This window comes from Homo sapiens, chromosome 16, assembly GCF_000001405.40.
Source record: "Homo sapiens chromosome 16, GRCh38.p14 Primary Assembly".
Taxonomy (NCBI): Eukaryota; Metazoa; Chordata; class Mammalia; order Primates; family Hominidae; genus Homo; species Homo sapiens.
Window position 1 is genome coordinate 89,799,132 of NC_000016.10, and position 25,645 is coordinate 89,824,776.

At 49.7% G+C, this 25,645-nt stretch overlaps 1 protein-coding gene across 4 annotated transcripts in view, besides 7 other annotated features; it reads right to left on the reverse strand.

Moving 5' to 3' along the window:
• The window catches only part of FANCA (FA complementation group A), a 79,099-nt gene extending 61,583 nt beyond the window's left edge, over positions 1–17,516 (reverse strand). For 3 of the 4 annotated variants that reach the window (NM_000135.4, NM_001286167.3, NM_001018112.3), the window contains exons 1-10: positions 17,406–17,516; positions 16,746–16,855; positions 15,389–15,482; positions 11,798–11,940; positions 11,576–11,671; positions 9,163–9,236; positions 6,149–6,261; positions 4,128–4,210; positions 474–507; positions 35–101 (exon numbers count right to left, since the gene is read on the reverse strand). In NM_000135.4, coding sequence (NP_000126.2) covers positions 35–101; positions 474–507; positions 4,128–4,210; positions 6,149–6,261; positions 9,163–9,236; positions 11,576–11,671; positions 11,798–11,940; positions 15,389–15,482; positions 16,746–16,855; positions 17,406–17,484 — 893 coding nt within the window. In that variant the 5' untranslated portion in view covers positions 17,485–17,516. The remainder of the gene's footprint in view (positions 1–34; positions 102–473; positions 508–4,127; positions 4,211–6,148; positions 6,262–9,162; positions 9,237–11,575; positions 11,672–11,797; positions 11,941–15,388; positions 15,483–16,745; positions 16,856–17,405) is intronic. The other variant, NM_001351830.2, reaches the window with a different exon arrangement.
• Positions 7,413–7,935: an enhancer, noted in NCBI's record as "NANOG-H3K27ac-H3K4me1 hESC enhancer chr16:89872952-89873474 (GRCh37/hg19 assembly coordinates)". NCBI's record gives its function as "activates a minimal SCP1, AML or CMV promoter by ChIP-STARR-seq in naive H9 embryonic stem cells {active_cell/tissue: H9 hESC(naive)}" and the evidence as "EXISTENCE:reporter gene assay evidence [ECO:0000049][PMID:30033119]".
• Positions 17,020–17,069: a silencer, noted in NCBI's record as "silent region_7925". NCBI's record gives its function as "represses an Ori minimal core promoter by ATAC-STARR-seq in GM12878 lymphoblastoid cells {active_cell/tissue: GM12878}" and the evidence as "EXISTENCE:reporter gene assay evidence [ECO:0000049][PMID:35858748]".
• Positions 17,300–17,589: a silencer, noted in NCBI's record as "silent region_7926". NCBI's record gives its function as "represses an Ori minimal core promoter by ATAC-STARR-seq in GM12878 lymphoblastoid cells {active_cell/tissue: GM12878}" and the evidence as "EXISTENCE:reporter gene assay evidence [ECO:0000049][PMID:35858748]".
• Positions 17,300–17,744: a biological region, named in NCBI's record as "Sharpr-MPRA regulatory region 3988".
• Positions 17,450–17,744: an enhancer, noted in NCBI's record as "tiled region #3988; HepG2 Activating DNase unmatched - State 1:Tss, and K562 Activating DNase matched - State 1:Tss". NCBI's record gives its function as "activates a minimal TATA promoter and a strong SV40 promoter by Sharpr-MPRA in HepG2 and K562 cells {active_cell/tissue: HepG2 | K562}" and the evidence as "EXISTENCE:reporter gene assay evidence [ECO:0000049][PMID:27701403]".
• Positions 18,130–18,179: an enhancer, noted in NCBI's record as "active region_11422". NCBI's record gives its function as "activates an Ori minimal core promoter by ATAC-STARR-seq in GM12878 lymphoblastoid cells {active_cell/tissue: GM12878}" and the evidence as "EXISTENCE:reporter gene assay evidence [ECO:0000049][PMID:35858748]".
• Positions 23,062–23,231: an enhancer, noted in NCBI's record as "experimental_46779 CRE fragment used in MPRA reporter constructs". NCBI's record gives its function as "activates a minimal promoter by MPRAs in K562 erythroleukemia cells, with activity observed for both the introgressed and non-introgressed 16:89888686 variant alleles {active_cell/tissue: K562}" and the evidence as "EXISTENCE:reporter gene assay evidence [ECO:0000049][PMID:34662402]".

The window sequence follows — 25,645 nt, forward strand, 5'->3', positions numbered from 1 at the left end:
TGCACACTCAGGCAGGCCACCCTCAGGAACATACCAGCACCTCACGATCTTGTGAGTGGAGGACTCCTCCTGTACTCCAGCAGCCAAAGCGTCAAGTGCAACTGAAGACAGAGCCAGGAACAGAAAACAGATGTCAGCACACGGCGGCAGCCCACCAGAAACAATCCCCAGGCGCTTTCAGACAACAGATCCACTTCAACCCCCCAGAGGGCCCACATCCATCAAGACTTCTACAATCTGTAGGCCTTAATCAAAACACACAGACAAGAAAATGCTTCCCTGTGACCCACAGATTCATGAGGTATCCCTTCACAGCTCTGAAAATGCCAAAACAAGGGCATTCCAGTACCAGGACTCTGCACAGTGAAACATACAGAGGAGAAATACCTCAAATGGAAAGGCAGAAAACTGATACAATTGCTAATAAGCAAACTAAGTCATTTACAGTCTGGGCTGCAGTGCAATTAACTTACAAATCAGCATTCTCTGCAGTACATCAACCGTGACCTGTCAAAATAGAATGTGAGTTACCATCTTGGTAATCTTCTGTAATTTGTGTGATACCTGCATCACACAAGAGAATTATTACTTGTTACTCTAAAGTAAAGAAACGGCACTTCAGGAGGCCGAGGCGGGCGGATCACGAGGTCAGGAGATCGAGACCATCCTGGCTAACATGGTGAAACCCCGTCTCTACTAAAAATACAAAAAATTAGCCGGGCGCAGTGGCGGACGCCCTGTAGTCTCAGCTACTCGGGAGGCTGAGGCAGGAGAATGGCGTGAACCCGGGAGGCAGAGCTTCCAGTGAGCTGAGATAGTGCCACTGCAGTCCGGCCCGGGCGAAAGAGCCAGACTCCGTCTCGGAAAAAAGAAAAAGAAATGGACTTTACAAAGAGATCAACTTTAAAAACCCTCATAGACCTAGAAATTACTCCAGTACCGAAGGGACCTAGACAGAGTGAAAAGGCTGAACTTTCTGGAATTACCCTAAGACTGCTCTCAGCATGGCCTGAGGCCATGAGCCTAGGGCTGGGCAGGACACTTTTGCACGCAGAGTTTTGCTGAAGTACTTCAGTGAAGAGAGGAAAGCTCAGGCCTTGAATCTGGGCTGTGGAACTAAGGACTTTCACCCTTGATGCCTCTGGAGCCAGAAGACGGTGAGAAGGTACCATTGTCCATTTCCCTTCTTCACATCTCCTGGGCTTAAAGCATACCACTACTCAGAGAGCAACTCATGGTAACAATAAAACAGACTTCCTCAAACAAAGCCCACAGACTGCAGTGTAGGCAAAATGGGAGCCACTGGCTCAGGAACCTCCAAAAGGGAATAAAAATTTGGGACGTATCCAAAACTATCTACAGATTCAATGCAATCCCTATCAAAATACCAATAACGTTCTTCCCAGAAATAGAAAAAAAGATTCTAAAATTCACATGGAACCAAAATAGAACACAGATAAGCAAAGCAATCCTGAGGAAAAAGAACAAAGCTATAGAATATAGAAATCACACTGCCTGAGGTCAAAATATACTACGAGGCTACAGAAATGAAAACAGCATGAGGTTGATATAAACATACACACAGACCAACGGAACAGGATAGAGAACCCAGAAACAGGCCGGGAACTGTGGCCCACGCCTGTAATCCCAGCACTTTCGGAAGTCGAGGTGGGTGGATCACCTGAGGTCAGGAGTTCTAGACCAGCCTGACCAACAAGGTGAAACCCTGTCTCTACTAAAAATACAAAAAAATTAGCTAGGTGCGGTGGCGGGTGTCTATAGTCCCAGCTACTCGGGAGACTGAGGCAGGAGAATAGCTTGAACCCGGTAGGCGGAGCTTGCAGTGAACCAAGATGGCACCACTGCACTCCAGCCTGGGAGACAGAGCAAGACTCCATCTCAAAAAAAAAAAAAAGAAAAAAGAAAAAAAAAGGCCAGGCACGGTAGCCCACGCCTATAATCCCAACACTTTGAGAGGCCAAGGTGGGCGGGTCATGAGATCAGAAGTTCGAGACCAGCCTGACCAACACTGTGAAAGCCCATCTCTACTAAAAATAGAAAAACTAGCCGGGAGTGGTGGTGGGCGCCTGTAGTCCCAGCTATTCAGGAGGCTGAGGCAGGAGAATGGCGTGAACCCCGGAGGCGGAGCTTGCAGTGAGCCGAGATCGCGCCACTGCACTCCAGCCCGGGCGACAGAGCAAGACTCTGTCTCAAAAAAAAAAAAAAAAAAGCCAATGTCACTAATCATCAGGGAAATACAAGTCAAAGCCACAATGAGCTATTATTTCACTCCAGTTAGAATTATCATTATCAAGAAAACAAAAAATAACAAATGCTGGTGAGAATGCAAACAGAACTCTTATATGCTATCAGTGAGAATGTAAATTAATACAGCCATTATGGAAAATAGTATGGAGATTTCTAAATAGTTGGGTAGTTCTAAAAACAGAACTACCAGCCCAGAGGGTCTCACTTTCACCAGGCATGGTGGATCACATCTGTAATCCCAGCACTTCAGGAGGCCAAGGCAGGCAGATCATGAGGTCAAGAGATCGAGACCATCCTAGCCAACAGAGTGAAACCTCACCTCTACTAAAAATACAAAAATTAGCTGGGCATGGTGGTGCATGCCTGTAATCCCAGCTATTCGGGAGGCTGAGGCAGGAGAATCGGTTGAACCTGGGAGGCAGAGGTTGCAGTGAGCCGAAATCGCGCCACTGCACTCTAGCCTGAGCAACAGAGAGAGACACCGTCTCAAAAAAACACAAAAAAACAAAAAAAAAACCAGAACTGCCATATGATCCAGCAATCCCATTACTGGGCTTACAGCCAAAGGAAAGGAAATCAGCCAGCTGAAGAGACATCTGTACTCCTACATTTATTGTGGCACTATTAACAATAGCCAAGATATGAAATCAACCTGTGTGCCCAACAAGAGATGACCGGATACAGAAAACGTGGTATATACACACAACGGAATACTGGTCAGCTTTAACGGAGTCTCGCTCTGTCACCCAGGCTAGAGTGCAAGGCGCAATCTTGGCTCACTGCAACCTCCGCCTCCTGGGTTCAAGCAATTCTCCTGCCTCCACGCCTGTAGCTGGGACTACAGGCATGTGCCACCACGCCCGGCTATTTTTTTTTTTTTTTTACTAGAGACAGGGTTTCACCATGTTGGTCAGGCTGGTCTTGAACTCCTGACCTCAGGGGATCCACCAGTCTCAGCCTCCCAAAGTGCTGGATTATAGGCATGAGCCATTGAGCCCAACCTCAGCTATTTTTTTCTTTTTCTGAGATGGAGTCTCTGTCGCCTAGGCTGGAATACAGTGACACGATCTGGGCTCACTGCAAGCTCCGCCTCCAGGTTTCACGCCATTCTCCTGCCTCAGCCTCCTGAGTGGCTGGGTCCACAGGTGCCTGCCACCAGGCCCGGCTAATTTTTTCTATTTTTTTAGTAGAGACGGGATTTTACCATGTTAGCCAGGATGGTCTCGATCTCCTGACCTTGTGATCCGCCCGCCTCGTCCTCCCAAAGTGCTGGGATTACAGGCATGAGCCACCATGCCCGGCCAGCTATTCTTTTTTTTTAAAGTGAAATCCTGTCATTCACAGCAACAGGAATGCAACTGAAGGCCATTATGTTAAGTGAAATAAGCCAGGCACAGAAGGACAAATATTGCATGTTATCACAAATATGTGGGAGCTAAAAAGTGGCTCTTGTGGAGGTAGAGAGTAGAACGAGAGATACCAGAGATGAGAAGGGTATATGCAGTGGGGGAACGAAGAGAGTTGGTTAATGGGTACAAACATACAGCTAGACAGAAGAAGTAAGTTCTAATGTTCCACAGCAGAGTGAGGCGGCTATAGTTAACAACAGATTGTATATTTCAAAGTAACTGCAACATGTGAAATGTTGCCAACACACAGAAATGATACATACTGGAGGTGACGGAGACTCTAAACACCCTGACTTGATCATTACACTCTATGCACAAAACAAGTATCACATGTACCCCGTAAATAGGTACAAACAGCACGTTTCAATAGAGAGACACGTAAATACATTTCAACACTTGGAATAAGGACGGCTCCTTCCGCTAAACTCTTCACTTGACTTTTCCTCCTACCTGCGGCATTTTTTCAGGCTCCACAGTTCTTCTCAGATCTGAGTTTTTCTGAAATCCCCTCAAAACAAACATTTGAACAAAATCTGAAAAACCATAAAACCAAAGTTATTTATGGACATCATGGTCTCCAAGCAACTGTGAATGGCACAGACCATCCACTTCAGAGGGGCGGGTGAGCATATGGCTTGGGCCCACCAGGACCCCTGTGAGCTGCTCCTAACCTGAGGAACGCTGCAGAAGTTACTGCTCACCTGACCACAGCTACACTAGCGTTCACCAAACCCAATCAGGACCCTTAGATGAACCAGATTTTTTCCTCTTGCACTTCTATTTGAAAGGGAACAAGTTTATAGTCAGATTTTTTTCTTTTTTTTTTTTTTTGTGAGACGGAGGCTTGCTCTGTCGCCTGGGCTTGAGTGCAATGGTATGATCTCGCTCACTGCAACCTCCGCCTCCCAGGTTCAAGCAATTCTCTGCCTCAGCCTCACCAGTAGCTGGGAATATAGGCGCCGCCACCACACCCAGCTAATTTTTGTATTTTTAGTAGAGATGGGGTTTCACCATCTTGGCCAGGTTGGTCTTGAACTCCTGACCTCATGATCCACCTGCCTTGGCCTCCCAAAGTGCTGGGATTACTGGCATGAGTCACCCCACCCAGCCCAATTTTTTTCTCTTAAATAAAAGTGGTTTCCAAGGGAGGTCTTATGGATTGTCTTGCCTGCCAATCTCCAATACCAGAGGGTCTAGAGGGACCCAGAAGCATCCTATTCTGAGGAATGTGATGGGGGAGGAAAGGCATTCTTAGCTTTTTAAAAAATAAGACCAAGAGGACTGAAATCCACAAGATTTTCTAACTTTGATTTAAATTTAACCTATCTGGTACCAGGTTATAGTAGCTCAGGAATGCTAAGTCGCTCATGCCACCAAAAAGCTTTAGGAAAAAGGAAAAAACCCACAAGCTACTGTACAGATCAGTTTCTCATCTAATTTTTATTTGTAGGTGTCACTTGTAGTGGGATGGGTCTCCCAGCAGGTGTTCCTCAGAACCCAAATATCCCAGAGAGGATCTGAGAACTCACCAAGGAAAAGAGTCTCATCACTCAAACACAGCAGGCAAAGAGCCAGAAAACGAGCTTCAATGCACCTTAGAGACAGGTGGTGGGGCGGTTCTCTAGAGCTGTCCTGCCGCCGTCCAGGAGTGCGCTGAATATAAGTCCTGACAAACCCAACTACTCCTCAAGCTGGATTGGTCCAAGCCATTCTCTGACAAGCCCAACTACTCCTCAAGCTGGACTCTGGTCCGAGCCATCCTCTGACAAGCCCAACTACTCCTCAAGCTGGACTCTGGTCCAAGCCATCTTCTGACAAACCCAACTACTCCTCAAACTGGGTTGGTCCCTAGTCTGAGCCATCCTCTGGTCTCTCAGCACCTTCTTAGTTTGTGGGGGGACATTACAGTCCCAAGTTTTTCTCATAATATCATTCCTCAGGAAGGCCAGGCATAGTGGCTCACGCCTATAATCCCAGCACTTTGGGAGGCCGAGGGGGGTGCATCACGAGGTCAGGAGTTCAAGAGCAGCCTGGCCAACCTAATGAAACCCCGTCTCTACTAAAAATACAAAAAAAAAATTAGCCGGGCATGGTGCCACGTGCCTGCAGTCCCAGCTACTAAGGAGGTTGAGGCAGAGAATCACTTGAACCCAGGAGGCGGAGGTTGCAGTGAGCTGAGATCGCGCCACTGTACTCCAGCCTGGGCGACAGAAGGAAGCAGCTGCGGTCACTCTATGGGAAAGGTGAATGGAAACACTTAAACTCATGTCAAGGCCGACTTACTAGTATTTCCACATCAGTCAAGTAAAATGCAACCCCACAACAGGCTGAGACTGGGAGTCTGTCATGCCAGGTTCCCACGGCCACGGAGAGACAGGCTGTTCTGCCTCGCAGAGCTCTTGAGAGCAGAAGGCATTATCACAGATCAAAATGAGTTTTACCCAAGAACCCGCATCTTGTCATGAACGCACCAGAAAGCATGGCCCTGGCGACGTCAGCATGCTGGCAGGATGCTTCCATCTGTTCACAAAGGCAGCACAGATTCCTGAAGAGCCACGATCCCACAGCATGCATGTCGGGATGGCTGGAGACACACACAGAGGCAGACGTAAGGCTCAACTAAATCCCATCATCAGGGGATTGAGTTGAGCCATATGTCCCAATTTTTTTTTTGAGACAGTTTTTTGCTGTCACTGAGGCTGGAGTGCAGTGGCGCAATCAGTCACTGCACCCTCGACCTCCCAGGCTCAAGCAATCCTTCCACCTCAGCCTCCTGAGTAGTTGGGACAACAGGCGCATACCACCACGCCCAGCTGGAGGTCTTACTACTTTGCCCAGGCTGGACTCAAACTCCCGGGCTCAAAACAATCTCCCACCTTGCCCTCCCAAAGTGCTGGGATGACTGGTGTGGCACTGTGCCCAGTCTCAAGTTATTTTCTAATTTCCCTTGTGACTTCTTTGACTCATTATGTTAACTTTCAAATATTGTGGATTTTCCCAATTCCCTTCTGTTGTTTATTCTAATTAAATTCATTTGTGGTTAGAGAACATATTTTGAATGATTTCAGCCCTTCTAAATTTATTCCTCTTTGTTTTATGGCCTGAACCTTTTTTTTTTCTCTTGAAACAGTTTTGCTCTTGTCATCCAGGCTGGAGTGCAATGGCACAATCTCAGCTCACTACAACCTCCGCCTCCCAAGTTCAAGCGATTCTCCTGCCTCAGCCTCCACAACGGCTGGGATTACAGGCACCTGCCACCTTGCCCAGCTAATTTTTGTAATTTTAGTAGAGACAGGGTTTCACCACGTTGGACAGGCTGGTCTTGAACTCCTGACCTCAGGTGATCTGCCCGCCTCAGCCTCCCAAAGTGCTGGGATTACAGGTGTGAGCCACCGCACCTGGCCTTGGCCTGAACCTTATGCTGTATCCTGGGGACTGTTCCATTTGGACTTACGAATACACACTCTGCTACTACTGGGTAGAGTGCTCCACAGTCAGTCAGGTCAGCTGGTTTGCAGCATTCAACTTCTATATCATTCTTTTTTTTTTTTTTTTTTTTAATTGATCATTCTTGGGTGTTTCTCGCAGAGGGGGATTTGGCAGGGTCATAGGACAATGGTGGAGGGAAGGTCAGCAGATAAACAAGTGAACAAAGGTCTCTGGTTTTCCTAGGCAGAGGACCCTGAGGCCTTCTGCAGTGTTTGTGTCCCTGGGTACTTGAGATTAGGGAGTGGTGATGACTCTTAACGAGCATGCTGCCTTCAAGCATCTGTTTAACAAAGCATATCTTGCACCGCCCTTAATCCATTTAACCCTGAGTGGACACAGCACATGTTTCAGAGAGCACAGGGTTGGGGGCAAGGTCACAGATCAACAGGATCCCAAGGCAGAAGAATTTCTCTTAGTACAGAACAAAATGAAAAGTCTCCCGTGTCTACTTCTTTCTACACAGACACAGCAACCATCTGATTTCGCAATCTTTTCCCCACCCTTCCCCCCTTTGTATTCCATAAAACCGCCATTGTCATCATGGCCCGTTCTCAATGAGCTGTTGGGTACACCTCCCAGACGGGGTGGTGGCCGGGTAGAGGGGCTCCTCACTTCCCAGTATGGGCGGCCGGGCAGAGGCGCCCCTCACCTCCTGGACAGGGCGGCTGGCCGGGCGGGGGGCTGACTCCCCCACCTCCCTCCCGGACGGGGCGGCTGTTCTATATCATTCTTAATCTAACTTGTTCTACCCATTACTGAAAGGGGAGTATTGAAACCTCTAATGATTATTGCTGAAATGTCTACTTCTCCCTTTAATTCTGGCCATTTTTGCTTCATAGATTTTGGTGCTGAGATAAGATGTGTATATCCTAGGAAGCAGGTTTTTCTTTTTTTTTTTTTTTTTGAGATGAAATTCTGCTCTAGGCCGAGGCGGGAGGATCACAAGATCAGGAGTTCGAGACCAGCCTAGCCAACATGGTGAAACCCCATCTCTACTAAACATACAAAAATTAGCCGGGTGTGGTGGCACGCGCCTGTAGTCCCAGCTACTGAGGAGGCAGGGGCAGAATTGCTTGAATCCGGGAAGCGGAGGTTGCAGCGAGCCCAGATCTCACCACTGCACTCCAGCCTGGCGACATAGCAGGTCTCTGTCTCAAAAAGAAAAAAAAAGGCCGCGCGAGGTGGCTCATGCCTGTAATCCCAGCACTTTGGGAGGCCGAGGCAGGGGAATCACCTGAGGTTAGGAGTTTGACACCAGCCTGGCTAACATGGCGAAACCACATCTCTACTAAAAATAACAAAAATTGCCAGGCACAGTGGTTCATGCCTGTAATCCCAGCGCTTTGGGAGGCAGAGGCGGGCAGATCCTGAAGTCAGGAGATGGAGCCCATCCTGGCTAACATGGTGAAACCCAGTCTCTACTAAAAATACAAAAATTAGCCAGGCGTGGTGGCGGACGCCTGTAGTCCCAGCTACTCGGGAAGCTGAGGCAGGAGAATGGCGTGAACCCGGGAGGTGGAGCCTGCAGTGAGCCGACATCACGTCACTGCACTCCAGCCTGGGTGACAGAACGAGACTCTGTCCCTAAAAAAAATAAATACATAACAAAAATTAGCTGCGTGTGGTGGCGGGCGCCTGTAATCCCAGCGACTTGGGAGGCTGAGGCAGGAGAATTGCTTGAACCCTGGAGGTGGAGGTTGTAGTGAGCTGAAATCGTGCCACTGCACTCCCACCTGGGCCACAGAGCGAGACTCCGTCTCAAAAAAAAAACAGACAAAAAGCAAACAAAACCAAAACACCATAAACGTTCTCTTGAAATAATAAAGCAATAGTTCCTCCAGGTCTAGTCTAGTATAAATATGCAATGCAATCTAGTCTAGTACAAATTATATGTCAAAGCCAGAAATCAAACCCGTCTGATTCTGGGCTTTGAAATATAATTTATACTAGACTAGACTGCAAAAACAGTAACACTGAATCATCATTAGCACGCTACCTTTCCAGCAGCTCTTGCAGGCTCACAATGCCTTGTACGTGAAGATGCCACACCGCTTCAAGCAACAAAGAACTCTGAAAAACAAAACAAAACAAACAAAAACAAAAACAAAAAAACCCCCAGCATTCTGAGTCCTTTATGAATGCATTTTCCTACAAAATGTTCAACTTAGGTTCTTAACCATGCCGTATTGAAAATTAACCTCAAGCAAAAACTTAGAGCCTGAAACACATCTTTTTTTACAAAGCTGTACTGGTTTTCAAACTCCCTGGCCTTTGGGCACCCACACACCGTTGCCCAACACTTGCTTCTCTTCCTTCTCTCTTCCTACGCACTGTAGCCTACTTCTAACCCTTTCTCCACACTACAGCCAACACAGTATTACACACACTGACATGACAGTCTCTCCTTCAGAAGCCTTCACTGGCTCCTCGAAGCTGCCAGGACAAAGGTCAGGCTTCAGTGTGCCCTGTGCATGTCCCTTGTCTTTCTCACTCAACCCTCTCCCATTTGATAAAACAGGATCTGCTTTAGCCACTCACTGTGAACACTGTGCCTGTCACACTGCCCTGATCTCCCTGCAGCCTCCCCTTCTCATCCCCCTAACTCACACTCTATTTTTTTTTTTTTGAGACAGAGTCGCGCTCTGTCACCCAGGCTGGAGTGCAGTGGCGCCATCTCGGGTCACTGTAAGCTCTGCCTCCCGGGTTCACGCCATTCTCCTGCCTCAGCCTCCTGAGTAGCTGGGACTACAGGTGCCTGCCACCACACCCGGCTAATTTTTTCTATTTTTTAGTAGAGACGGGGTTTCACCGTGTTAGCCAGGATGGGCTCGATCTCCTGACCTCATGATCCACCTGCCTCGGCCTCCCAAAGTGCTGGGATTACAGGTGTGAGCCACTGGGCCCGGCCCCTAACTCGCACTCTTCACAGTCCGTGCAGGAAGGCTTTCCTAACTCTCCAATCTGATATGCATGTCCAACATCTTCTTCGCAAATCTGTGAGCACATGAATCATCGCACTTCTTGTGGATTTAGTGGCTTGTTTCCCAAGCTACGTGATAATGAGGGCAGGGACCAAAGCAATAACTGAAAAATCTAATGAATTCTATAATGTATGCTGGATAAAAGAATGGGAAAGGCCGGACGCAGTGGCTCACACCTGTAATCCCAGCACTTGGGAGGCCAAGATGGGCAGATCACCTGAGGTCAGGAATTGAAGACCAGCCTGGCCAACATGGTGAAACCTCATCTCTACTAAAGATACAAAAATTGGGCAGGGCGCGGTGACTCACACCTGTAATCCCGGCACTTTGGGAGGCCGAGGTGGGCAGATCATCTGAGGTCAGGAGTTTGAGACCAGCCTGACCAACATGGAGAAACCCCGTCTCTACTAAAAATACAAAAAAAATTAGCCAGGCATGGTGGCGCATGCCTGTAATCCCAGCTACTCGGGAGGCTGAGGCGGGAGAATGGCGTGAACCCGGGAGGCGGACGTTGCGATAAGCCAAGATAGCACCATTGCACTCCAGCCTGGGCAACAAGAGCAAAACTCCATCTCAAAAAAAAAAAAAGATACAAAAATTAACTGGGCATGGTGGCACGCGCCTGTAATCCCAGCTACTAAGGTGGCTGAGGCAGGACAATCGCTTGAACCTGGGAGGCAGACGTTGCAGTGAGCCAAGATTGCGCCACTGCACTCCAGCCTGGGCGGCAGAGCAATATTCTGTCTCAAAAATAAAAATAAATGCCAGGCGCGGTGGCTCACACTTGTAATCCCAGCACTTTGGGAGGCCGAGGTGGGCAGATCACGAGGTCAGGAGATCGAGACCATCCTGGCTAACACGGTGAAACCCCGTCTCTGCTAAAAAATACAAAAAATTAGCTGGGCGTGGTGGCAGTCACCTGTAGTCCCAGCTACTCGGGAGGCTGAGGCAGGAGAATGGCGTGAACCTGGGAGGTGGGGCTTGCAGTGAGCCAAGATCACGCCACTGCACTCCAGCCTGTGCGACAGAGCGAGACTTCGTCTCAAAAAAAAAAAAAAAAGACCAGCCTGGGCAACAAGGCGAGACCCTGTCTCTGGAAAAAAAAATTACATACATTTTTTTTTAATAGTTTACTATACTACCCTGGAAAATTCTCCATACTAATATACCCAAGGCTAAACGTGTTTTTCAATATATTCTAGTCTAATAAATATTACTAATGATAGGTGAATAGGGACAAAAAATGGCAATTGAAGGTACTTCTTTCCAATCCACAGATGATTTCTAAACCCTTTTTCATCCACTCTCTGTAATTAATGAGAAGCTTGGAGAATTCCCAAGAAAACCCAGGTACTCTGTTGCCTCCATCCAGATCAACAGAACATTGCCTGGAACACTGGAGAGTCAGATTTGCAATCTCAAATTTACCTGTATTTTCCATAATTCTTGACAGAAGGAAAGACGGGAGAACATACTGTGTGCCAATAAATACTGAGCAAACTCTAACAGGGAAGACAGCTTCTTCTGAAAAGAGAGATTACATTTTTTAAAAAACAAATTACCTGAAACAATACTAAAGCTATGTCCTATTTTCCCAACCAGCTTAAAAGTAACAACGGGCAGGTTTCCTCATCTTTGCTGGTGTCTTACTCTCTGCTCCACAGTCAGCAGCACAGGGTGACTGGTCTCCGCTGGAGCCGTGCAGATCTGTCCCACGCTAGAGGCAACCATCCCGGCTGAGAGAATACCCACGGGAACCCCCAGCCTTGAGGCTTGATCCTGCAAAGCAGAGCCTTAAACACAAAACAAAACCATAGCTTTCTCTTAACACATGAGACAAAATCTAAAACCAAAGACTTGCTGTTTAAAATGCCTTATTTTAAGATGCAGCACAAAAAAAATTGCCTTTTAAACGGGGAGAATAGATGCAAAGGGAAAAACATGAGATAAAAATGAGAATTTGATGATCCAAGCAGCTCACAATAAAACTGGTGGCAACACCTGAACCCAGAGTTATACATTGGTATTTGTTACGTTTCCCATGACACAAAAGGAGCAAGATAAAGAAATATATTCTGACCAAGAACTTTATCATCTTTTTACAAAGGAGCACAATAAATTGAGAACTGCAGCAGGCTCTTTCAATTACATTGTTTTTCTAATTACTTCAGAGATAAGCCTGCCCCTGTTGACTCACATTGATGGTTGTGATAAAATTAGGCAGGGATTTCCCAACATTCTGCCATGCACCTGGTGGGCAGGTGCAGTCACAGCTGTGCTCAGTCCGCAGGCCACCAAGTGGAACCTCACTAACAGCCTGCAGGCAGCCACCATTCTCCTGAGCAACCAGCCACTGGTCTGCATTCAATAAAGTGAGAAACGGTGGGCAACCTGGAAGCAGGCAATGCCAAGAAATCATTTTCTAATTTATTTGTCTTCCAAAATTAATTTTTTTTTGTTTTATTTTTTTGCAATGGTGTCTTACACTGCCGCCTGGACTGAAGTGCAACGGCGCCATCTCAGCTCACTGCAACCTCCGCCTCTCAGGTTCAAGCGATTCTCCTGCCTCAGCCTCCCAAGTAGCTGGGATTACAGGCACGCGTCACTACGCCCAGTTAATTTTTTGTATTTTTAGTAGAGATGGGGTTTCACTATGTTGGCTAGGCTCGTCTCCAATTCCCAACCTCATTAATCCGCCCGCCTCGGCCTCCCATACTGCTGGGATTACAGGTGTGAGCCACCACGTGAGCCAAAATTAATTGTTTAAAGAAACCGGGCCGGGCACGGTGGCTCACGCCTGTAATCCCAGCACTTTGGGAGGCCGAGGCGGGCGGATTACAAGGTCAGGAGATCGAGACCATCCTGGCTAACACGGTGAAACCCTGTCTCTACTAAAGACACAAAAACAAAATTAGCCAGGTTTGGTGACGGGAGCCTGTAGTCCCAGCTACTCAGGAGGCTGAGGCGAAGAATGGCGTGAACCCAGGAGGCGGAGTTTGCAGTGAGCCGAGATCACGCCACTACACTGCAGTCTGGGCGACAGAGCCAGACTTCATCTCAAAAAAACAAAACAAAAAAAAACTGGAGGCCAGGCTCAGTGGGTCCCTCCTGTAATCCCAGCACTTTGGGAGGCCGAGGCGGGTGGATCACCTGAGGTCGGGAGTTTGAGACCAGCCTGACCAACATGGTGAAACCCTATCTCTACTAAAAATACAAAATTAGCCAGGCGTGGTGGTGCATGCCTGTAATACCAGCTACTCAGGAGGCTGAGGCAGGAGAATCACTTTAACTAGGGAGGCAGAGGTTGCGGTGAGTCGAGATCACACCATTGCACTCCAGCCTGGGTAACAAGAGCAATACTCCGTCTCAAAAAAAAAAAAAAAAAAAAAAAACTGTTAACTGCAGTACGAACCTGTTATTGTAATGTACTGGCTCTAAAAACACATTATCAATACATAAGTAAAAACATTTACAGGCTGGTTGCGGTGGCTCATGCCTGTAATCCCAACACTGCAGGAGGCCGAGGCGGGTCGATCACGAGGTCAGGAGTTTGAGACCAGCCTGGCCAAGATGGTGAAACCCCGCCTCTACTAAAAATACAAAAATTAGCTGGGTGCGGCGGCGGGCACCTATAATCCCAGCTATTCGGGAGGCTGAGGCAGGAGAATTGCTTGAACCCAGGAGGCAGAGTTTGTAGTGAGCCGAGATGGCGCCATTGCACTCCAGCCTGGGCGACAGAGCAACACTTCGTCTCAAAAAAAAAAAAAAAAAATTTTACAATAGTTCTAGAAGCTTAAAATTATAGTACGAGAAATCATCAGCTGCTGGTGAAATTCTCGGTAGAAAAGTAGACAGATGGGGCACAGTGGCTCATGCCTGCAATCCCAACACCTTGGGTGGCTGAGGTAAACTGATTGCTTGAGCTCAGGAGTTTGAGACCAGCCTGGGCAATATGGCAAAACCCTGTCTCTATGAAAAAATTAGCCAGGCATGGTGGCGCACACCTGTAGTCCCAGCTACTCAAGATGCTGGGGTGGGAGGATCACTTGAGGCCAGGAGGTCAAGACTGCAGTGAGCCGTGATTGCACCACGGCTCTCCAGTCCAGGCAACAGAGTGAGACCCTGTCTGTTAAAAAAAAAAAAAAAAGTAGACAATGCCATTTTCTGTTCTGAGACAGAGTTTTGCTCTTATTGCCCAGGCTGGAGTGCAATGGAGGGGTCTCGGCTCAATGCAACCTCTGCCTCCCACGTTCAAGCAATTCTCCTGCCTCAGCCTCCTGAATAGCTGGGACTACAGGCACCCACCACCACACCCGGCTAATTTTTGTGTTTTTTAGTAGAGACAGGGTTTCACCATGTTGGCCAGGCTCGTCTCGAATCCTGACCTCAGGTGATCCGCACACCTCAGCCTCCCAAAGTGCTGCGATTATAGGCGTGAGCCACTGTGCCAGGCCAACAATGCCAATTTCTAGTCATTTGTTTCCAATGTGTCTCCATAGGAAAGTTTTTTTATCTACAAGTCTTTTACTGTGTGTGTGTGTGTGTGTGTGTGTGTCCGTGTGCACGTGCGTGCATGTACTAACTATATCTTTAGCAGAAAAAAACAAACTCAAAAATTAATGAATTAAAGGTTTATCTGTGTGGCTGAGCTTGGTTCCTTGGAATGATAATATGCAATTTGTGAAATTCAAATACAATCATGGCAGTGAAAATCTGTATCATTTGCCAATGACATTCAGTGACCAGTTGTCAAGGGAGCGCTATTACTGAAGGTTATTTTAACAGAAACAAGTCATCACATAAGGACGTGAAGGATCAGAAAATAACTTACTGTTGTTGACCCAGAACTTACCCTATCTCCCACTCTCAAACTGGGGGGAGAAGGAGGTACCTAGAAAATTGTTCTCCCGTCTGCTCTCCTGGGCACACCACAGCCTGTCTCACTACTTCCATGAGCAAGGGGCACATCCCTGCTGTTGCTATGTCCCATGTTTTTCCAAGGGACACTCTGGGTCCTACTGCTTCTGAGTCGCAGGTTGAATCAGACGCTGTTTTTAAACACAGCATCGTAAGAAGCCCAAGAGCAAGTCACACAAACATCCCATAGAATTTGCGACTACACACACCAGTGGAAACCCATCGCCTGAGAAAATTTACATTTCTACTTAATTTAGCAAACTATGGTTACTATATAAAAACCCTTCTGCAATTCAAAATAGAGAAAATGAAGCTATAACTTACCTATAAATGAACTAGAATGATTAGCATAGGCCTCAGAACTGTCACAGTCAATCACTTTGCTGAGAGACAATTTTTTACACAGTGGACCTTCTACCTAGAATCCAAAACACAACAAACTCCATTTAAAAAATTCAAGCTCCAGGCCAGGCGTAGTGGCTCACGCCTGTAATCCCAGTACTTTGGGAGGCCGAGATGGGCAGATCACGAGGTCAAGAGTTCGAGACCAGCCTGGCCAACATAGTGAAACCCTGTCTCTACTAAAAATACAAAAATTAGGAGGGCATGGTGGCGCGTGCCTGTAGTCCCAGCCACTCGGGAGGCTGAGACGGGAGAATCACTTAAACCCGGGAGGTGGAGGCTGCAGTGAGCCGAGATCACCCCACTGCATACCAGCCCAGGCTACAGTGTGAGACTTTGTCTCAAAAAAAATAAATGAAAATAAAAAATAAAAATAAAAAAAATTCAAGATCTGTGCATAAACACAACCTGTGTGTAAGTAATGCTTCCCTACTGGGCTATTTTCCTTTTTTTCTTTTTTGAGAGGGAGTCTCACTGTCGTCCAGGCTGGAGTGCAATGGCGGGATCTCACTCACGGCGACCTCCACCTCCCAGGTTCAAGCGATTCTCCTGCCTCAGCCTCCTGAGCAGCTGGGATTACAGACACCTGCTACCATACCCGGCTAATTTTTGTATTTTAAGTAGTGACGGGGTTTCACCATGTTGGTCAGGCTGGTCTCGAACTCCTAACCTCAAGTGATCTACCCACTTCGGCCTCCCAAAGGGCTAGGATTACAGGCGTGAGCCACCACGCCCGGCTTTTTTTTTTTTTTTTTTTTTTTTTTTTTTTGTGAGACAGTCTCACTCTGTAATCCAGACTGGATTGCAAGGGGCGTGATCTCGGCTCACTGCAATTTCTGCCTCCCGGGTCCAGGTTCAAGCAATTCTCCTGCCTCAGGCTCCCGAGTAGCTGGGATTAAAGGCGTGCGCCACCACACCCAGCTAATTTTTGTATTTTCAGTAGAGACCGGGTTTCACTATGTTGGCCAGGCTGGTCTCGAACTCCTGACCCTGAGTGATCCACCCGCCTTGGCCTCCCCAAAAGCTGGGATTACAGCCCTGAGCCACGGCGCCCGGCCTGTTTTTTTGTTGTTGTTGTTTTGTTTTTAATAAAAGAGGCGGGGTCTCACCCCGTTGCCCAGGTTGGTCCAGAACTCCCGGGCTCAGGCGACCCTCCCCTCTGCGGGCCAGGCCACCGCGCCCGCCGCCTCGGGTGTTTTCTTAGGAAAGCTGTGCGGTGGCTGGACTCAAAAACCCCGAACCTAAATCTGCCCGCAGACGGACACCAGCTTCCTCTTACCTCAAGCAAAAGGGCATTCAGGTCCTGATGGCTTCGCAGGAGGCGCACAGCTGATTCCTTTAATTTCTGTGCCCTTTCAGGATTATATTTTTCCCTCTTGACCCTTCCCGCTACGGAGAGAAGTCGGTTCGAAACCATCACAGCACAATTCACACACGGGGTCCCCGGCCCGACGCGCAGGTGGACGCCGCGGAGAAACCCACCAGCGACACCCTCCCGAAGAGGGGCCGGGGCTCCTCCCCAGGGCGCAGGTCTCGGGAAACTAACGGAGACGGCCCCACCGCGGACGCCGGGGAAGACGGCCCAGGAGGGCCCGAGGCAGGGGAGCCCGGGGACGGCTGGCGAGGGGCGGCCTCTGCGCTGAGGGGAGCCCCAGGCCGCGCACCCCAGGCCCGCCTGACAGGGCGGCCGGCGGGGGCGGCGTTCGGGAAAGAAGGGAGCGCCCCGCGGGCGGCGGCTGGGGGCGTCCGCCCAGGCGCAGGAGGGGCCGGGTCCGAGGCAGCCGCGCCGCCCCAGCCGGGCGCCCACCCCGCACAGCCCCCCGGGCGCGGCGTCCGGGGATCCGACCGGCGGAGGCTCTGGCGGGAAGGGATCGGGGAACCGGCGAAACCGTCCCGGGCCGGACGCCGCCCACTCCCGCGGCCTGCCGCGCCCACCTACCCAGCAGCTCGGCCCAGGCCCTCCGGCGGCCCCCTGGGTCCTGGCCCGAGGCGGAGTTCGGGACCCACGAGTCGGACATGGCCTTGGCGCCTACAGCCCCGGCGGCGGCTCCCTGCGCCCGAGCCCGCGCTGCCTTCCTATTGGCTGCGGCCAGGCGCGCACACCCGTTGGCTGGCGGCGGCCAGGCCACGCCCCTCAGGTCGAGGCCTTGCGTCGTGGCCATGTTGGTCCTGGGGGAGGCGCCTGCGCGCGGTGAGGTAGTTTTTGCGTTTGGCTTTGCCGCCGCGGTGTAGTCCGCGGGGGCGTCTCGCGCGGGCAGACTGCCGCCCCTCAAGCGTGGTTCCTGCCGGGAATGACTGGGGTTGGTCCTGAAGAGACCACCTGGCCAACCAAGCCGAGGCAGGCTCAGAGCGCCGCGGGGAGCGCAAAGCCGCGCGCGCCTCTGAGCTCCGGGCAGCCGCTGTTCCTCCCGGCGGCCGAACGGTCCGCGCGCAGGGCGGTGTTTCGGCAGCCGGAGACCGCGCGGTAGCCGCGCCTGTATTCCCAGCGCTTTGGGAGGCCGAGGCTGGAGGGTCGCTTGAGCCCAGGAATTCCAGACTAGCCTGGGCAACAGAGCGAGACCCCATCACTTTTGTTTCTTTTCTTTTTTTTTTTTTTCCTTTTTTTGAGACGGAGTCTCCCTCTGTCGCCCAGGCTGGAGTGCAGTGGCGCGATCTCGGCTCACTGCAACGTCTGCCTCCTGGGTTCAGGTGATTCTCCTGCCTCAGCCTCCCGAGTAGCTGGGATTGCAGGTGCGCGCCACCACGCCTGGATGATTTTTGTTATTTTTAGTAGAGACAGCGTTTCGCCATGTTGGCCCAGGCTAGTCTCGAACTCCGGACCTCAGGTGATCCGCCCGCCTCGGCCTCCCAAAGTGCTGGGATTACAGGCGTGAGCCACCGCACCCGGCTGAGACCCTATCTTTTAACCAGCCTGGGCGGCAGAGCGAGACTCTGTCTCAAAACAAAACCAAACATAAGAATTCGTAAAAGCGAGTGCCTAGGCGAAGCTAATGTGCCTCAAAGTCCTGGGTAAGTAGAGGCCCTGGAGACCCGTCCGCATCCTCTGGCAGTGGCCTTGGAACCACCGAAGGGATTCAGCCGAAGGGCCGCGTTCCCGGCAGGCGTCTTTATTGTGTTGATTACGTAGATGGCGTAGATGACGTAGATGACGTTCAGCACCACAAACGAAGAGCCGAGGCACAGAGTGGGGCCTTGGATTCATGAGATGGGGATGGAGCAGAAATGAGAATTCGGAGTCCATGAAACCCCCACAAAGACTCCTGCACGGCCCGACTCGGACACTTTGCAATCTGCTGGTTGAGGGGGATGGTGTGAACTCAGGGAACAGCCTGAGATCGCGCCGCTGCACTCCAGCCTGGGCAACAGAGCAAGACCCTGTTTCAAAAACAAAAAATAACACTAAGCAATTAACAGGACTAGACTCAGAGGTGATCGAGAAATTGAAACAGGCTGGAAATTTAAATTAACTGTGATTAATATGTGGAGGTCTCTTGTACGAAAGGTGAACAATATGCATGAGGAGGAAACTCATCAAATTATAAGAAAGGAAGAACGCTGATAACAGGTAATTTTTCTGATGGGGCAGCAGTAGGATCAACACAGCTGAGAAAAATAGGAATTACCCACGTTGGAAAATAAAGAAGAAAAAAAGTTTTTTTTTAAAAAAAGCATCCAAGAACTGTGGGAAAATATCAAATGATATCATATGCATGTAATAGGACTCCCAAAAGAAGAAGAAAGAACAAATCATAAAAAATGTTTGAAGAGAAAATTACCAATAATTTTCCCAAAATAATGAAAGACCTGAGCTCAGAGCACACACAAAACTTGATAAATATGAGCCCCTGCCTGACACATGCAGTGTATTCAAACTGTGGAAATCAGAGAGAAAACCATGAAGATGGCCGGAGGAAAAAGATACGTTAAATACAGTAACAAAGGTAAGAATTCCAGCCTGGGCAATATGGCAAGACCTCGTCTCTACAAAAAATACAAAATTTTTTTTTTGTATTTTTTGTATTGCCCAGTGTGGTGACACGAGCCTGTAGTCCTGTGGGCGGAGAATTACCCAGGTGCCGAGGCAAGAGACCGAAGGCACAAACTATTTCAGTATAATAAAATCGTTACAATAAGAACAGTCATAATACAAATTATGGAGATGATCATGGACAATTATCAATTATTATAAACATTAATCATTAGCTTTTAATATTACTGTTTGTTGCATTACTAATATAACCTAGGAATAACCGGTGGGTATAGGGTCAGGTGCTGAAAGGACATTGTGAGAAGTGAGTGGAAGGCAAGAGGTGAACCTTCTGTCATGCCCGCATAAGGGCCGCTTGAGGGCTCCTTGGTCAAGCGGTAACGCCAGTGTCTGGGAAGGCACCCGTTACTTAGCAGACCATGAAAGGGAGTCTCCTTTGCTTGGAGGAGTCAGGGAACACTCTGCTCCACCAGCTTCTTGTGGGAGGCTGGATGTTATCCAGGCCTGCACGCAGTCATCCGGAGGCCTAAACCCCTCCCTGTGGTGCTTCACTGGTCACGCTCCTTGTCCACTTTCATGTTCCTCCCTTACTTCTGGTTCGTCTTTGAAGTTCGTAGTAGATAGCGGTAGAAGAAATAGTGAAAGTCTTAAAGTCTTTGATCTTTCTTATAAGTGCAGAGAAGAAAATGCTGACGTATGCTGCCTTCTTTCTCTGCTTCACCTACCTGAAAGGGAAGGGCCCCCATCCTGTAATCACGTGACATGCTTCACCTTGTCAATCACTTAGAAGATTCACCTTCCTTACGCTGCCCCCTTGTCATGTATGCAATAGATATCAAAGAGCCTAGCCGTTCGGGGCCGCTACCAGTCTCCGCGTCTTGATGGTAGTGGTCCCCGGGGCCCAGCTGTTTTCTCTTTATTTCTTGGTCTTGTGTCTTTATTTATTACAATCTCTCTTCTCCGTACATGGGGAGAACACCCACTAAGCCCCATAGGGCTGGACCCTACATAGTCCCAGCTACTTGGGAGGCTGAGGTGAGAGGATCACTTGAGCCCAGGAGGCTGAGGCTGCAGGGAGCCACCATCACGCCACTGCACTCCAGCCTGGATGACAGAGTGACACCCTGTCTCAAAAAAAAAAAAAAGGCAGGGGTGCTGGGCACGGTGTCTCACACTTGTAATCCCAGCATTTTGGGGGGCCGAGGCCGGTGGATCACCTGAGGTCAGGAGTTTGAGACTAGCCTGGCCAACATGGTGAAATCTCATCTCTACTAAAAACACAAAAATTGGCCAGGTGTGGTGGCTCATGCCTGTAATCCCAGCACTTTGGGAGGCCAAGGCAGGCAGATCACCTGAGGTCAGGAGTTCAAGACCAGCCTGACGAACATGGAGAAACCCCGTCTCTACTAAAAATACAAAATCAGCCAGGTGTGGTGGTGCATGCCTGTAATCCCAGCTACTCGGGAGGCTGAGGCAGGAGAATCGCCTGAACCCAGGAGGCGAAGGTTGCAGTAAACCAAGATTGCGCCACTGCACTCCAGCCTGGGCAACTAGAGCAAAACTCTTGTCTTGGCCCGGCGCAGTGGCTCACGCCTGTAATCCCAGCACTTTGGGAGGCTGAGGCAGGCGGGTCACCTGAGAGCAGGAGTTCGAGACCAGCTTGGACAACATGGTGAAACCCCATCTCTACCAAAACTACAAAAATTAGCCGGGTGTGGTGGCAGGTGCATGTAATTCCAGCTACTCAGGAGGCTGAGGCGGGAGATTTGCTTGAACCCAGGAGGCGGAGCTTGCAGTGAGCTGAGATCGTGCCACTGCACTCCAGCCTGGGTGACAGAGCGACACTCCGTCTCAAAAAAAAGATAATTTTCTGTCTAGGACAAGTGGGGTGGCTCATGACTGTAATCCCAGCGCTTTGGGAGGCTGAGGTGGGTAGATCACCTGAGGTCAGGAGTTCGAATTTGGCCTGGCCAACATGGTGAAACCACATCTCTACTAAAAATACAAAATTAGCCGGGCGTGGTGACCAGTGCCTGTAATCGCAGCTACTTGGGAGGCTGAGGCTGGAGAATCACTTGAACCCAGGAGATGTAGGTTGCAGTGAGCCGAGATCATGCCAACTACAGCCTGGGCGACAGATTGAGACTCTGTCTCAAAAAAAAAAAAAAAAGCGTATGGTGGCGCGCGCCTGTAATCCCAGCACTTTGGGAGGCCGAGGTGGGCAGATTACCTGAAGTCAGGAGTTTGAGACCAGCGTCCCCAACATGGAGAAACCTGGTCTCTACTAAAAATACAAAAAATGAGCCGGCTGTGGTGGTGGGCACCTGTAATCCCAGCTTCTGGGGAGGCTGAGACAGGAGAATCGCTTCAGCCTGGGAGGCAAACCTTGCAGTGAACTGAGATCATGACACTGCACTCCAGCCTGGGCGACAAGAGCAAAACTCCCTCTCGAAAAGAAAAGAAAAGAAAAGAAAAGTTCATCTGTCCTTTGATCTGGCACATCTTTTATAATGGCCTGTTCTGCCTCTGCCTTGTCACTGAGCAGTGTGGGGAGAATTATGCCCATGAGTTGTGAGGAACTTCTGCATTCTTTTTTTTTTTTTTTTTTAAGATGGAGTCTCACTCTGTTGCCCAGGCTGGACTGCAGTGGCATGATCTTGGCTCACTGCAACCACTGCCTTCCAGGTTCAAGCGATTCTCCCGCCTCAGCCTCCCGAGTAGCTGGGATTACAGGTGCCTGCCACCACGCCTGTCTAATTTTTGTATTTTTAGTAGAGACAGGGTTTTGCCATGTTGGCCAGGCTGGTCTCAAACTCCTGACCTCAGGTGATCCGCCCGCCTCGGCCTCCCAAAGTGCTGGGATTACAGGCGTGCGCCACCGCGCCTGGCCTTTTTTTTTTTTGAGACAGGGTCTCACTCTGCCACTAAGGCTAGAGTGGCGCAATCTCGTCTCACTACAACCTCCGCCTCCGCCTCCCAGGCTCTTGGTCCTCCTACCTCAGCCTCCCAAAGTGCTGGGACGACAGGTGTGAGGCGCCACGTCCAGCCTAGTTCTCTCATCTTACAACGTTCAGGCCCCTGGGCGGGCACTGGAGGTGCTTTCACCATCTGAGACGATGTTTGCTGTCACGTGGGGAGGAGCTTGTCAACCCCATGTTCACACAGGAACTAGTGTCTAAGTGACACATCTCAGCATGTCCCATTCTTGTTTTTTTTTTTTTTGAGGCACAGAGTTTCGCTCTTGTCACCCAGCCTGGAGTGCAATGGCGAGATCATGGCTCACCGCAACCTCCACCTCCCGGGTTCAAGAGATTCTCCTGTCTCAGCTTCCCGAGCAGCTGGGATTATAGCCCTGCGCCACCATGCCTGACTAATTTTGTATTTTTAGTAGAGACAGGGTTTCTCCATGTTGGTCAGGCTGGTCTCAGACTCCCAACCCCCAACCTCAGGTGATCTACCCGCCTCAACCTCCCCAAGTGCTGGGATTACAGGTGTGAGCCACCACGCCCAGCCAGGACCCATTCATTTTTAACCACCTTGCTTTATCTGTTCAAAAGAGAAACAAATTCAGCATGTGTAAATAACTCTGACCACCCTCAATAGGAAGCAGACAGGGCCTTGAGTATTTCTCTCATCTCCTGACTCAGAATCGCAGCGTGTGTCTCTCTTCACCATACCGCACGGGTCCTGCTCGCTGACCCAGCCCGCCTGCTGTCCAGGGCTTCCTCTGTCTCTGCTCTGGGACCTCCCCATGGCCACGCATTCCGCCGCATGGTCTGGATCCCTCGCGGTGTCTGGGTTCAGCCATGCTCAGCCTCTGTGTCGGTCACCAGCCTAGAAACCCTGGAGCACCCCGGGCCGGAACCCTTCCCTCAGATCTGTCGTGAGTTCCCTTTCAGAGATCAAGCCCAGCCTGGCTCAGTCTTGCACCCCTTGGGATCCACGGCCTGTATAGTTACCCTAAAATAAACACAACACAAAACCAGGGCTCTCAAATGTCTGCTTTTCCTCCTGGGCCCCTGAGCTCTGACCCTGCCTGGCTGCACAGACTGTGACAAAGAGAGTATTCAGGGGCCTCGGGGGTGCAGGAGGCCAGGCTGCTCACCAGTACAGTGTGCACATAATCCCTTGGGAGGAGCCAACCTTGTTTTTGAGTCTGAAATGGAATGAGTAAGGCGTGGCCAAAGAAACCTCTGCACTCCACTGGCCCCAGGTGAAGTGGCTCTGCCTGAGTCCAGATGGTGGAGGAGGCCTTTGACCTGAAGTTGACTTTGTGTCTGACTTGCTCTGACTTCTGTCCCAAGGCACTCAGGGTTCTTGCTATGCCACCTTGTACCCTGGGGCCCTGCACTCCTCTCCTGAAATGAAGAACCCTGGAATTCTCTGTGTAATTAGAGCCACAGAACACCTGGGGAACCAGCGCCAACTTACCTTCTCAGCCTCCAGGAACCTACAGTTGAGATCTTCTAGGCTCTGTCTGTAAAGATGCTGAGAGGTATAATTCCTAGAGCTTTTTAATCTGTGGCCAACTGCAGTCATGAGCCACACAGCCCCTCTGAGTGCACTGCCATGGTGTGGAGAAGATTTACAGCCCCTCAAAGGGCTCCGTCTGATATTATTCAAAGCACCAAACACAGAGCATGGGCAAAAGCAAACATGACCAGTGGGTTCCTGATTGATGTCGGCACCTGGAGCCCTTCCCCACCTGCTGTGCTGGTCTTTGTTTCCTTGTGTATCGTTGCTCTGCCTGTAAGAACAGAGGGGCAGGCACCTACCTGGGGTTGCCCTGCTCTTTCCCCAGGCATGAGAAATCAGTGCCTGGTAAATTGGCATGAATGAGCAGCTGGTACCATGAGATAAACATTTTGGGGGTGTTTCTGTTAATGTGATAACTTGATAAAGTGATTGTCCAGCCCCAAGCACTGCTGGATTCATCATCATACTAAATGTCTCTAGTTTGTCCCCAAGCGGAGCAGCCCAGTTACTGATAATTTCCCTCTCCCAGGATTTCCTAATCTACTGGAAATGAAGGACAAGGAGCATGTTTTTAGATGCAGGCAATCCATAACTGTAGAAATGGCCTTGATCTAAAGCAAGCTTGTCCAACCCGCGGCCTGTGGGCTGCATGCGGCCCAGGAAAGCTTTGAATGCAGCCCAACACAAATTCTTAAACTTTCTTAAAACATTGTGAGATTTATGCACAGAGCTATTGTTAGTGTATTTTACGTGTGGCTCAAGACAATTCGTCTTCCAGTGTGGTCCAGGGAAGCCAAAAGATTGGACACCCCTGCTCTAAAGCTTTCCAAGCTGACTTAATGACTGACCTACATCAATCTCTACAGTGCTTCTCGTTGAGTCCCTTTTTCTGTTTGTTTGTTTTTTGAGACAGAGTCTCACTGTGTCACCAGGCTGGAGTGCAGTGGTGTGATCTCGGCTCACTGCAACCTCCGCCTCCTGGATTCAGGCGATTGTCCTGCCTCACCCTCCTGAGTAGCTGGGACTACAGGCATGTGCCACCATGCCCAGCTAATTTTTGTATTTTTATTTTTATTTTTTATTTATTTATTTTTTGAGACAGAGTCTCGCTCTGTCGCCCAGGCTGCAATGCAGTGGCGCAATCTTGGCTCACTGCAAGCTCCACCTCCCAGGTTCACGGCATTCTCCTGCCTCAGCCTCCCGAGTAGCTGGGACTACAGGCACCCCCCCACCACGCCCGGCTAATTTTTTTGTATTTTTAGTAGAGACAGGGTTTCACCGTGCTAGCCAGGATGGTCTCGATCTCCTGACCTCGTGATCTGCCCGCCTCAGCCTCCCAAAGTGCTGGGATTACAGGCGTGAGCCACTGTGCCTGGCCTTTTGTATTTTTAGTAGAGATGGGGTTTCACCGTGTTGGCCAGGATGGCCTTGATCTCCTGACCTTGTGATCTGCCTGCCTCGGCCTCCCAAAGTGCTGGGATTACAGGTGTGAGCCACCATGCCCGGCCATGTTTTATTTCTTTTTATTTTTTTTGAGATGGAGTCTTGCTCTGTTTCCCAGGCTGGAGTGCAGTGGTGCGATCTCGGCTCACTGCGACCTCCGCCTCCTGGGTTCAAGCAATTCTTCTGCCTCAGCCTCCCGAGTAGCTGGGATTATAGGCATGTGCCACCACGCCCTGCTAATTTTTTTTTTTTTAATTATTTTTCTAGTAGAG